Here is a 13,896-nt window from a genome sequence, read left to right as displayed (position 1 = left end):
CGTGTCTCTGGGGTTTGGTGTAAGAATGTTCCCATCACCCGGGTAGTGGGCATAGTACCTGATATGTAGCTTTTCAGCCCTCATCAGCCTCCCACCCTCTCCCTCTAGTAGTCCCCACTGTCTATAGTTCCCATCTTTTTGTCCACATGTCATGTTCTATTTATTAAGAGCGTCCCTTGCAATTGCTTAATTATTTATTGATAATAACTTGCTTAATGACTTTCCTGCCAGACTTCAGATTCCACAAGGGGATACCTTGGTTTCTTTTCCTAGCCTATATCCATATAGTTCAGCGTTGTGCCTGGTATTGAGTAGGTGCCGAATAAACAGTGTTGACTAAAGCAATAGGTTGGTGCAAAAGTAATGGCGGTTTTTGCCATTTCTTTCAATGGCAAAGATGACCATTACTTTTGCACCAACTCAATATGAAACTGGAAGACCCATTCTAATTCTCTTTTATAATTCTACTGTGCAATACCTTTTAGGCTTCTTAGAGGGGAATTAGGATGGGCTGCAGAATTATTAGGGAAAGACTCAACTTGAGGGTGACTAGAAGAAGGGATGTAAGCAGGGTGTATTTTCTCCCATATCTCTTTCAATGACATCTTTTCTTTCACAGAGAACAATAGTCAAGGGACGACACAGTCAAACGTGGATATTTGGGTGAGTGGGGTGAAGCCTGGATTTGGGAAACAGCTGGTACGTATAACTATGCCATTTTCCTACCCAAACATTAACATGTCTTCCTGTGATTTTTAGGGTAGGGTAGTTCTATCCAGGGGTAATTTTGTCCTCTGTCCCAAGGTCATCTGTCAATGTCTGGGGACACTTTTGGTTGTCATACCTTGGGGGTGATGTGTGTGACTGGCATCTGGTGGATGGAGACCAGGGATACAGCTCAACATCCTACAGTGCCCAGGACAGCCTCCCACAATCAAGAAGTGCCTAGTGCCACATGTCCATAGAGATAGAGAAATACAAGCGTAGGGGGAAAGTGCCTCAGCTGGCATTCAAAGACCTACATCAAGCACCTAGATTCTCAATGCCACACGCACCTTGTAGCACCTTAATAAATATCGTTGCCTTCTGGGCTCCCCACTCCAACACTTGTGCATATTCCCTATTTCTTACATTTCAGTAAGAGTCAATCTAATTAGCTTAATTTTTTTGGAAGGAAAATCTGAGAAGAAATGGAAGCAGAGAGGACTTTGCAAGAAGGGCTACTCAACTAATTCAAAGCGTGGAGTTGAGCATCTGGAATGCGAGTTTTGCTTCTCCAGGAAAGGGTCAAATTTCTGAATTTGATATAGGTAAGAGAGGCTGAGTAGAGTCTTTATGACCCTCCATAAAGACCATAAAGACGTCTGGGTCCTGGCTTTGTCAGGGTTTCTGAATGATGAAATCTGTGGGCTCTCAGGATCACAGACCCTCTACACCAACATTCTACATGAGAAGGACTCCATTTTCAAAAATGCAAATTCAAGGGACAAGAGAATAAACCAGCTCTCTTCTTCTTTTCAACTTCCCTTGGTATGATGGAAAGTATTTAAGAGCATATTCGCTATGCCACCATGGCTAGGGGATAGAAAAAACCTCGGTTATTTTCCTACTCTACTCTCACATAGTAACAAGAACACGGAATACTTCATCTCTGGTCACCAAATTATTGTGGGCTCCTTTTCCACACTGACCACACAGTTCTCCAGTGGACCCCAGCTGGGTGTTCTACAATTCAATTATGACATTATCTGACATTATCAACCAAAGAGAGCGTCAGATCCCACAGGCTGCAAGCTTAGTCCCACAAAAGTATTCTTCACCTCAAATGCCAATCCCAAGTTCTAGGTTGTAACCCGTACGTCCAACTGACAGGCAGTAAATTAGAGTCCCATGACCCCTTCCTTGGGTTTGAGTAATTTGCTAGAGTGACTCGCTTAACTCAGGAAAGCACTTTACTTACATTTATCCATTTATTAAAAATATATTACAAATGGGCTGGGTGTGGTGGGTCATGCCACTTTGGGAGGCCGAAGCAAGTGGATCACCTGAGGTCAGGAGTTCAAGACCAGCCTGGCCAACATGGCAAAACCCCATCTCTACTAAAAAAAAAAAATACAAAAATTAGCTGGACATGGTGGCACGCATCTGTAATCCCAGCTCCCCAGGGGGCTGAGGCAGGAGAATCGCTTGAACCCAGGAGGCAGAGGTTGCAATGAGCTGAGATTGCACCACTGCACTCAAGCCTGAGCAACAGAGTGAGACTCCATCTCAAAAAATATATATATTAAAATAAAAATATAAAACATAAATATATATTTATATATATTATATGTGTGTATGTGTGTGTATATATATACACACATTTATATACACACATTTATATACATATATATACACACACATATACACACACACACACACACACACACACACACACACACACATATATATATATAAACAAATGATACAGATGAACAGCCAGATGGAAGACATGCACAGGGCAAGGTATGGGAGAAGAGGTGCAGAGCTTCCAAGCCCTCTTTAGAGGTGCCACCCCGGGGACCCACACATGTTCAGCAATCTAGAATCTCCTAGACAGCTTAACAAATCTTTTGGATTTGTATGGAGGGTTCGTTAGTTAGGCACGATTGGGTACATTATTGGCCATTGATACCAACTCAACATTTAGCCCCCCTCCTCTTCCTGTATCTGGGATGGGGGTGAAACTGAAAGTTCCAACCCTTTAATCTCACCATTGGTTTCCTTGGCAACCACCCCCATCCTGAGGCTATCCAGGAGCTGGCTAAGAGTCACTACATTAGAATAAAAGATATTTCTATAACCAAGAAAGTACAAAGGATTTCAGAGTTGAGTCACACACTCCTGTCACTCAGGAAATTACAACGGTCTTAGGGACTATATGTCAGCAACTTGAGTCCAAGACCAAATATCAGAACAAAAGATTTTCCTAGTGATTCTATTGCTCAGGAAACTCTAAGGGTTTTAGGAACTCTATGTCAGGAACTCTGGTTTCTTTCTGACCTCTGTATCTGTTAATCATTTCAAAGAACCAATTTTTGGCTTTGTTGATTATTTATATTATTATTCCATTTCCTTTCTCTTTGATTTTTGTTCTTTATTATTTCTTTCCTTTTACTTTCTTTGGGTGGAACTTGCTTTTCATTTTCTTTCTTTTTTTTTTTTTTTTTTTTTGAGATGGAGTCTCGCTCTGTCGCCCAGGCTGGAGTGCAGTGGCGCGATCTCGGCTCACTGCAAGCTCTGCCTCTCGGGTTTACGCCATTCTCCTGCCTCAGCCTCCCGAATAGCTGGGACTACAGGCGCCCACCACCACGCCCGGCTAATTTTTTGTATTTTTAGTAGAGACAGGGTTTCACCATGTTAGCCAGGATGGTCTCAATCTCCTGACCTCATGATCCACCCGCCTCGGCCTCCCAAAGTGCTGGGATTACAGGCGTGAGCCATCACGCCGCGCCTGGCCTTGCTTTTCATTTTCTAACTTGTTGTCTTGGTTATTTAGATTACTAATTTTAAACCATTCTCCTTTCCCAATATATGCATTTAAAACTTAAAACTTAGCTATAAATTAGAGCTATATATTTCCCTCTAAGCACTGCTTTAGCTGCATCCTGCAAGTTTTCATATACTGGGCTTTCATTATCATTTAGATCAAAATATTAAAACATTTCCTGTGTAATCTATCATTTAACTCATGGTTTATTTAGAAGTGTGTTGCTGAATTACCAAATATTTGTGGCTTTTTAAGGTTTCCTTGTGTTAATGGCCTCATTTAATTTATTGTGGGTTTTAATCAAGAAAGGATATTGAACTTTGTCAAATGCTTTTTCCTACCTCAATTGAGATGATCATTTTATCATCAATTGAGATGATTTTTATCTTTCATTCTGTTAATGAGATGAACCCTATTGATTGATTTACATATGTTAAACCAGGCTTACTTACCAGGAAAAAATAGTTGTGATATATACTCTTTTTGATGAGTTGTCTGAGCACACACTATGTAGGATTTCAATCCTTTTGAATTTGTTGAGACTTGACTGATGGTCTATTTTAGCAAATGTTCCATGTGAACTTAGTGTCTGAATTAACATACCAAATCTGGTGGTATAACCGTGGTAAACAGCAGCTTAACCATTATTTCTTGAATAGTTTGAGCATAAGTGAGTCAGGGCTGATGTAGCAATACCATGCCAGCTCTGTGCTCTGCTGTCTTCAACATTCACCTTCACTTTGTGATACAAGAGAGTTGTTGTACTATCACACCCTTTTACCAGCCAATGAAAAGGGGAGAAGAGAAGTTGAAAGGATGCCTGTTTCCCTTAGCACATGCCATTCTGTTCTTTGATCCGTTGGCCTGAAAATAGTTGCATGGCTCTGCCTAGCTGCAAGGGAAGCTGGAAAATGGCTTGTCTTCAGCTTAAATTTAGTAGTTCTAGATGCAAAGAAAGAATAGGTAAATGGTGATCACAGGTAATAAGCAGTCTGCCATAGCACCTAGGACAGTTTTCTCATTTGTTCTGAGACAAACTCTGTATACCCCAAAATGTTGAGGTTGACCTCACAAAATGATCAGCTCTTGTGTTTATAGGTTTACAGGGATTCTTCCCAAATGCAGAAGTTCTGTTCCTAGTGACTATTTTTTTTTTGGAAAACATTTAAATGCTTAGCTACTCTTGCTTATAAAGATTGCATTCTCCCCTAACCAGGGACTCCGGTACCATTAAGTGTCCTGTGGAAACTGCTTAGCTTGCCTATCAGAGTACCAGTTCTGGGAAGCATGCCCTTCTCCTCTCTTGGGCTGTGGCCAGTGTGTTGCTAAGGCCATTTTGGCCACTCCATTTCTACCAGCCAAAGATGGGAACAAGGTGCCACGTGGCCAACCTTGCATAGGAGAGATGGAATCACCAGTAGGAGGTCTTCCAGAAAAGGGAGTTCTTTAGCAAATTATTTAGGTATGAGACTTGAGAACAGGACTGACTTTCTTAATGTTTTCAGTCTATGAAACCAAGAGGTGCAATGAGACAAGGGAGAATGCTTTTCTGGAAGCTGGAAATAACACCATGGATATCAACTGTGCTGATGCTTTAAAAGGAAACCTAAGAGGTACCATATCTCCGATGAATTATCTTGACTCCAAATTCTACACATCATTGTTTTATTTCTAGGCGATTAAACCCTGGGGTGAGAATTCACAAAGCTTTTAAGGTAGGGAGATTCTACATGGTGGAATAAAATGATCTTCCGTAACCACTAACTAGGCATTTTGCAGAGAGAAGTCGGGCTGTCACATGGGGTGTGTATTTTGTGACATACACAAAGGTTTGCATAAGGATTCCTTGAAATGCCTCCTTAAAAGGGACTGGCTGGGCGGGCACAGTGGCTCACGCCTGTAATCCCAGCACTTTGGGAGGGTGAGGCGGGTGGATCACAAGGTCAGGAGTTTGAGACCAGCCTGGCCAACATGGAGAAACCCCATCTCTACTAAAAACACAAAAATTAGCCAGGCATGGTGGTGCGTGACTGTAATCCCAGCTATTCGGGAGGATGAAGCCGGAGAATTGCTTGAACCCAGAAGGCGGAGGTTGCAATGAGCCAAGATCGCACCATTGCACTCCAGCTTGGGTGACAAGAGTGAGATTCTGTCTCAAAAAAAAAAAAAAAAAAAAGGGACTGGCTGATGCATGCTCTGTTTCCATGTAATGGTCTGAAAAGGTAACACTCAATGGTGTCAGATTGCCTTGAACACTTCCTTGAGAAGCGTTTATGTACACCCTTTTTAAAAGAGCTGCCGAGTCTTGTTCTTTACCACAGATTGGAAAACAAATGTTCTCTACAAGGTCCAGAGAGTAAATATGTTAGGCCTTTTGTTCCAGATGACCTTTGTCATAACTACTCAGCTCTGCCATCAGAGTGTGAAAGCAGCCATTGATGATGTGTCAGTGAAGGAGTGAGGCTGTGTGTCTATAAAACTTTATTTACAAAAGCAGGTGGCAGGCTGGGTTTTACCTTCACGGCATAGTGTTTCACCCACACTTTATCTCATCACCTGAAGTCTCTGCAAAGCTCCTGCACTATGTATTTTTTCTAATTTATTTATTTGTTGGTGGCCCATCTCTCTCACTACGACATCGTCAGCTCTCTGATGGCAGGGGTTTTGTCTGTTTTGCTCACTGCTGTATAATAATTCCTAGAATGTCTGGCACACAGTAGAGGATACATAAATATTTCCATGAAACATAAATGAATGAATGCATATAAACTATTTCAAAGAGAAAAACCTGGTTACCTTAAAAATGAAATATCTGCTGCATTTCCTCCAAAAAATTCCTGGTTATTCATTAATCTTCACTCCTTACTGTGAGCGGTAGAGTAGGGAAAGGGAGGAAAGGGATCTAAAAATGAGTTGATTTTGTTGTTGTTGTTGAGACTGACTCTCACTCTGTTGCCCAGGCTGGAGTGCAGTGGCACAATCTCGGCTCACTGTAGCCTCTGCCTCCCGAGTTCAAGCAATTCTCCTGCCTCAGCCTCCCAAGTAGCTGGGATTATAAGCACATGCCACCAAGCCCTGCTAATGTTTGTATTTATAGTAGAGACGGGGTTTCACCGTGTTGGCCAAAGTGGTCTCGAACTCTTGACCTCAGATGATCTGCCCGCGTCGGCCTCCCAAAGTGCTGGGATTACAGGCGTGAGCCACCACGCCCAACCGCGTTGGATTTTTTAAATGGAGCAAATAGAAATACAGATGATAAGTAGCTTTGGTCAAAAATGGGATGGTAGCACGTGGATAACTGCAATTTGGGAAACACTCCCATCATACGGGTGTCCTGTGTGCACTGAACCTCCATGATTTTTTTTCTTTTTTTTTGGAGTCGGATTCTCCATTCACCATCTCGGCTCACTGCAACCTCCGCCTCCTGGGTTCCGGCGATTCTCCTGCCTCAGCCTCCCGAGTAACTGGGATTACAAGCACCCGCCACCACGCCTGGCTAATTTTTGTATTTTTAGTAGAGATGGGATTTTGCCATGTTGGGCGGGCTGGTCTCGAAATCCTGACCTCAGATGACCCACCTGCCTCAGCCTCCCAAAGTGCTGGGATTATAGGTGTGAGCTACCGCGCCCGGCCTGAACCTCTATACATTAAACGGTGGCTTCATGAAAAGGGGAGGGGGAAAAGGAAGACAGGGAGAGGAAGGGTAATAAGATGAGAAAGAGAAAAAATGAGTGAATTAATTAAATACAGTGGGTCATTCTGCATACCTTTCCACTAAATTAGGTACCCCGGAGTGAGCTTGAGGTGAAGGCTGAGAGAGTGTGGTTTTCTTAGCCTGCGTGAGTTCCATGTGCCCTTCTGAGGACAAGCATCTTGCCTCACAACTCTGGTTGTAATGCTCAAGGGCTCATATATATTTTTAGGACTCTGAAGAGCATAATTTGCACATATTTTGCACATATTTTGCACCGCTTATAATGTATGGGGCATTATAATACATATTACGTAGACAAAAATGCTGCACCCCAAGCGACACACGGTGTATTGAACAGCATTTAAGGGATTTCCAAGGGCAGTTTTAGCCATTCATTGCCTGCCCTACGACCCTCACATTAGAGAGTACTGTACTTTCTCTCCAAACTATGGATGGCCACTAACAGTATTTCTTTTCCATTTTTTTCTTCAGAGAGCACTGCAGTTGCCCTATCACTTATCAATCTCTTGGGGATATTCTGAATGCATCCTTTTTTAGTAAACGAAAAGGGATGCAGGAAGTAAAACTGAACTCTTACGTTGTGAGCGGCACCGTCGGTTTGAAGGAAAAAATTTCCCTCTCTGAACCTGTGTTCCTGACTTTTCGCCATAATCAGGTGAGAAACACCCAGGGCTGGGTCTCCATGCAGTACCTTAAAGGGTGAGCAGGTGCAGTCAGCTTCCCAAGTAGGAAACGGAATTCAGAAGTAAGAGAACACACAAGACACGCTGAGGCATCTTCAATGAGATTTTGCTTCACCACAGTGAGGATGGCTATTACCAAAAACTTAAAATATCAGTATGTGGCAAAAAAAAAAAAAAAAAAAAAAGAGGAACCCTTATAGATCTGCTGATGAAAATGTAATGTGGTACAGCCATTATGGAAAACAGTACAGAGGCCTCTCAAAAAGTTATAAACAGAATTATCGTCTGTTCCAGCGATTCCACTTTGGGGTATGTGGCCAAAAGAATTGAAATCAGGATCTCAAAGAGATAACTGCACTCTCGTGTTTATTGCAGTATTATTCACACTAGCTGAGATATGGAAACAGCCTAAGTATCTGTCAACAGATGAATGAAGATTTTTTTTTTTTTTTTGAGACAGAGTCTCGCTCTGTCGGCCAGGCTGGGGTGCAGTGGCGTCATCTCGGCTCATTGCAACCTCCATCTCCCCAGCTGAAGCAATTCTCCTGCCTCAGCCTCCCGAGTAGCTGGGATTATAGGAGTGTGCCACTACACCCAGCTAATTTTTGGTATTTTCAGTAGAGACGGGGTTTCACCATGTTGGCCAGGCTGGTCACGAACTCTTGACCTCAGGTAATCCGTCCACCCCAGCCTCCCAAAGTGCTGGGATTACAGGTGTAAGACACCATGCCTGGCCAATAGTTTTTGTTTTTTTTTTTTCTTAAGGGACAGGGTCTCACTCTGTCACCCAGGCTGAAGTGCAATGGTGCAATCTCGGCTCACTGCAACCTCTGCTTCCTGAGTTCAAATGATTCTCCCACCTCAGCCTCCCGAGTAGCTGGGATTACAGACACCTGCCATCATGCCTGGCTAATTTTTGTATTTTTAGTAGAGACAAGGTTTCACCATGTTGACCAGGCTGGTCTCAAACTCCTGACCTCAGGCGATCTGCCTGCCTCAGCCACCCAAAGTGCTGGGATTACAGGCATGAGCCACCATGCCCAGCCTAATGTACAACACTCAATGTAACTACACTTAATAATGTATTGTACACTTGAGATCTGCTGAGAGAGTGCATTGCAAGTGTATTCACCACGCACACACACACACACACAAAAATATGTGAGGTGTTGGATGTGTTAGCTTCATTGTAGTAATCATTTAAAAATGTATACATCTATCAAAACGTATAAATACAAATTCTTCTTTGTTAATCACACTTTAGTAAAGCTCAGGAAGAAAGGAAGTGTTGAGGCATCCAGAGCTTGCCACAGTGAGATGCCATTCTCACGTTGAAGCCAAAAGGCAATGGAGGAGAAGCTCTATTGAGCTCAGTGGAAGCTGGAGGCAGGAATGAGGGATCGCTCTGCAGAAACTGGAGATGGCTCAAAGCAGAAAGGGCACAGGGAAGAAATACTTTATTTCTCTCTCTTCTCTCACCCAGTGAGTCTCACCAATGCCTCTCTTTGCTTCTATAAATAGCAAGGAAGCTGGCGAAGCCATTCAGAGGGTCAACCCCAGGGTGCTGAGCTGACCAGAGAAGGGCAGAATAGATGGAGAATAAACCCACCGCAGGCGTGGTGATGTGAAACTCTTCCCCTACAAGTGTATTTCCGATCCAGTTTCCAACACTGTGCATTGTGATTAACCTGTAAAGTTGAAATAATATGCCAGGCATGTTGGCTCATGCCTGTAATCCCAGCACTCTGGGAGGCCGAGGCAGGCGGATCACTTGAGGCCAGGGGTTCAAGACCAGCCTGGCCAACATGGCAAAACCCCACCTCTACTAAAAATACAAAAATTAGCCAGGCATGGTAGTGTTCACCTGTAGTCCCAGCTACTTGGGAAGCTGAAGCAGGAGAATCACTTGAACTTGGGAGGCGGAGGTTGCAGTGAGCTGAGATCACACCACTGCACTCCAGCCTGGGTGACAGAGCAAGACTCCATCTCAAAATAAAATAAAATAAAATAAAAAATAAAACCAGGAAGAGACCCACTTTCATACTATTCTCTTTCCAGCCTGGTGACAAGAGAACAAAACATATCTGTGTCTACTGGGAGGGATCAGAGGGAGGCCGCTGGTCCACGGAGGGCTGCTCTCATGTGCACAGCAACGGTTCTTACACCAAATGCAAGTGCTTCCATCTGTCCAGCTTTGCCGTCCTCGTGGCTCTTGCCCCCAAGGTACCAAGATTCATTCCTGTGAACCTGTGTATGTCCGAGAATTTGTGAGTTATCCTCTGCATTTCTTACAAAAAGATTCTAAAGGTCGGGCGCGGTGTCTCACGCCTGTCATCTCAGCACTTTGGGGGGCCGAGGCAGGTGGATCACTTGAGGTCAGGAGTTCAAGACCAGCCTGGCTACCATGATGAAACCCCGTCTCTACTAAAAATACAAAATTAGCTGGGCATGGTAGTGCACACCTGTAATCCCAGCTACTCAGGAGGCTGAGGGAGGAGAATTGGGTGAACCCAGGAAGTGGAGGTTGCAGTGAGTCGAGGTCATGCCACTGTACTCCAGCCTCGGTGACAGAGGAAGACTCCATGTAAAAAAAAAAAAGAAAAGAAAAAGAAAAAAGATTCTAAGACAAGGAGTCAAATGGTAGTAGCTTACTTGAAAGGGGATTACAGGAAACACTAGTGGGGGACTGAGACAATGAGATGGAAGTAAGACAGGTGTCAGTGCAGACAGCATTATCAAGCCAGTTACCACCATAGGTAACTGGAATTTATTCCCTCTGGGGGACTCTGGGAGTCAGTGTAGAACTCACATCTCTGGGTCATTCTATCTGAGCAGCAAGGGAGCTGGAGTATTTATACACTAACTCCCATTAGTCATTTGTTAAGAGCTGTATCCAGCACTGGTCTAGTTGTTTTGGTTTTTAACATTCCTGTGTGATGAGTGTTACTACTGCCCTCATTTTGAAGATGAGAACACTAAGTCTCAGAAAGGTAAGTCAATTGTTTCAGGGACTGAACTAGGAAGCCCATCTGGCACTACCTCAGGAAAATAACAACACCATCGGACACCATAATGGATTCCCCCTTTGGTGTTTTGCAGGAGGACCCTGTGCTGACCGTGATCACCCAGGTGGGGCTGACCATCTCTCTGCTGTGCCTCTTCCTGGCCATCCTCACCTTCCTCCTGTGCCGGCCCATCCAGAACACCAGCACCTCCCTCCATCTAGAGCTCTCCCTCTGCCTCTTCCTGGCCCACCTCCTGTTCCTGACGGGCATCAACAGAACTGAGCCTGAGGTAGGTAATTTACCCAAATTACCTCATTGCCATAACGAATCCAGCCATCTTGTCCCACAAGAAGATGGAGAGCAAGGCATTAGTCAGCAGTGATGATGTAGAGAGGAAAAGTATGAGCTCCATTTCAGTTGTCCTCCTATAGAAGTTGGAATAAGACCTTTACATTCTGAGGGGCCATTTAGCAAAGTGATGGAGTGTCAGGCTGATGGTATTAAATAGGGTAACATTAGCGGTTGTTAGGATCAACTCCAGAATGTCACAGGCTTGCCACAGTAGGAGTTATTTTTTCCTTATGTATCAGTAGAGGGTGAGCAAACAGGTCTGAAGAGTGTCTATCCTGCACCCTCAGGTTGAGGGAGGCTCTGTCATTTTCCATACACAGCTCCCAAGGTCATCGTGGTGTTCACATATCAGCCAACCCGGAGGGGGAAAAGAACATGGCTGAGTTCCCATGGGGGAGGTTAACATGTGCCACATCATGAAGTGGTGCATATCACTTCCCCTCACACTCTATTGGCTAGGACTCGGTCACATGATAACACATAACTGCAAGGGCAGTTGGGAAATGTGGTCTCTGTCTGGGAAGCCACTTCCTAGTGACAAATCTATACTCTGGATTTGAGGGTGGGGAAGAGGCTTGCATTTTTGGTGGGCAGTGGGTTTGCTGCACTGATCTGCGCTTGAATCGCAGCTCTTCACCCTACTTGCTGTAAGACCTGTTGAAGTGACTTCCCCTTTTAATTTATTTAAATTTAATTTTTAAACTGAAAAATATAAAGTATATGTATATTTTTTTTCTGTACAGCATGTTTTGAAATATTATACGTCATAGAATGGCTCAGTTGATCTAATTAACATTTGCATCACCTCACATACTCAGCTTTATTGTGTGTGTGTGTGTGTGTTTGTGATGAGAACACTAACGTATTCTTTTAAAAGTTTTTAAGAATACATACATTGTTACCATGCAACTATGATCACCATGTTTTACAATAGATCTCTTGTGGCTTCCCCTTTTTAAACTTCCTCTGCAAAACAGGGGCCTAATCATAGGATTTAGTAAGAACTTAGCAAGACAAAACATAAAAGATTATGAATTAATCACTCAGAGAACAATGTTCACTTTTATCTTTATCATGATCCTGGCCATCATATTATCCAGGAAGATTTAAAGCTAGATGGTTCTCTAAGTCTCCTGTTAACCCTAAAACACTATGATCACACAGCTAGAAAGTTACAAAAGCACTCTGTTTATATTTAAATTTTTTTTCCTGAGAAATAGTATAGTTTTATGGTTAAGAGTAAGTACATTTTCTGGAGATAGTTTAGGTTCAAATCCAATTTTATTTTTTACTCGCTGTGAGATTTGGGGGCCAGATTTTAACCTCTTGGTGTTTCATTTGAAAATAGGCAGAGGTTGGGAAGACACAGTCCTCAGGCCAAATCTGGCCCACCTTCTGTTTTTGTAAATAAAGTTTTATTAAAACACAGCCTCATCTATTCATTTATATATTGTTTGTGGCTGCTTTTACGCTACAATGGCAGAATGGTGTAATTGCAATAGAGATTTGACTGCATAGCTTAAAATTTGGCCCTTAAAATTTTTTTGTCTCAGAGTATTGAGACAATAATATGAGTTAATACTTAACAAAGCAATTTGATCAGTGTTCACCCATAGTTAAGTGCTCGGAAGGTACTAATTACTTCTCTGATAAAATTTTCAAATGATGTTTTTAAAAACTGTAAAAATAATATTGTGGGTAAGATGGAGTTGACTTAGTCATCTTGAAAATATATGCTTTTATATAATGCTCTAAAATCCTACCTCTTATTTTATTTATTTATTCATTTGATGGATATTTTAAAAATACCCACTGTGTGTCAGGCATTGTGTTGCAAATACATTAATAATTAGGGGACTAGGGGAACTACCTCAGTTACTTTCCCCATAGAGTTCACAGCTTAGAAACATGTGCTGAGGCCAGGTGCGGTTGCTCACGCCTAATCCGAGCACTTTGGGAGGCCGAGGTGGGTGGATCACCTGAGGTCAGGAGTTTGAGACCAGCCTGGCTAACATGGTGAAACCCTGCCTCTACTAAAAATACAAAAAATTAGCCAGACCTTTGGTGGGCACCTGTGATCCCAGCTACTCGGGAGGCTGAGGCAGGAGGATCACTTGAACCTGGGAGGCGGAGCTTGCAATGAGCCGAGATTGCGCCACTGCACTCCAGCCTGGGCAACAGAGCGAGACTTTGTCTCAAAAGAAAAAAAAAAAAGCAGCCACAGATAAAAGTAAATGAATGTGTGTGGCCATGTGCTAATAAAACTTTACTTATAAAAACAGATACTGGGCCAGAACTGGCCCAAAGCCACTGATTTCCTAACCCTGCTCAAGGCAGCAGTGGAAAGGACTTCAAGCTGGGAATGACAGAAAATACTTATCAGGACAACAAAAGTTGAAGGTAAAGATAACTGCAGTGAGATGAAACTAGCAGCAGAAAGAATAGCAACAGGGCTATGAATGGTCTAAGTGGGAGTTAATAAAAATATGGGCCTGGCACGGTGGCTCACGCCTGTAATCCCAGCACTTTGGGAGGCCAAGGTGGGTGAATCACTAGGTCAGGAGTTCGAGACCAGCCTGGCCAACATGGTGAAACCCCGTCTCTACTAAAAAT

At 43.2% G+C, this 13,896-nt stretch overlaps 1 pseudogene across 2 annotated transcripts in view; it reads left to right on the top strand.

The window, feature by feature from the left end:
• ADGRE4P (adhesion G protein-coupled receptor E4, pseudogene) overlaps positions 1-13,896 on the top strand; it is a 47,094-nt pseudogene that overhangs the window by 15,462 nt on the left and 17,736 nt on the right. The window contains exons 6-11 of one of the 2 annotated variants that reach the window (NR_024075.2): positions 620-663; positions 1,175-1,310; positions 5,035-5,142; positions 7,716-7,899; positions 9,986-10,150; positions 11,027-11,221. The product of NR_024075.2 is annotated as an adhesion G protein-coupled receptor E4, pseudogene, transcript variant 1 (transcript). Of the gene's footprint in view, positions 1-619; positions 1,311-5,034; positions 5,143-7,715; positions 7,900-9,985; positions 10,151-11,026; positions 11,222-13,896 lie in introns of both variants that reach the window. The other variant, NR_174976.1, reaches the window with a different exon arrangement.

Source organism: Homo sapiens, chromosome 19 (assembly GCF_000001405.40).
Source record: "Homo sapiens chromosome 19, GRCh38.p14 Primary Assembly".
NCBI classification, from domain to species: domain Eukaryota; kingdom Metazoa; phylum Chordata; class Mammalia; order Primates; family Hominidae; genus Homo; species Homo sapiens.
The sequence above is the reverse complement of the archived record's forward strand: the minus strand, read 5'-3'. Positions and strand labels throughout refer to the sequence as shown.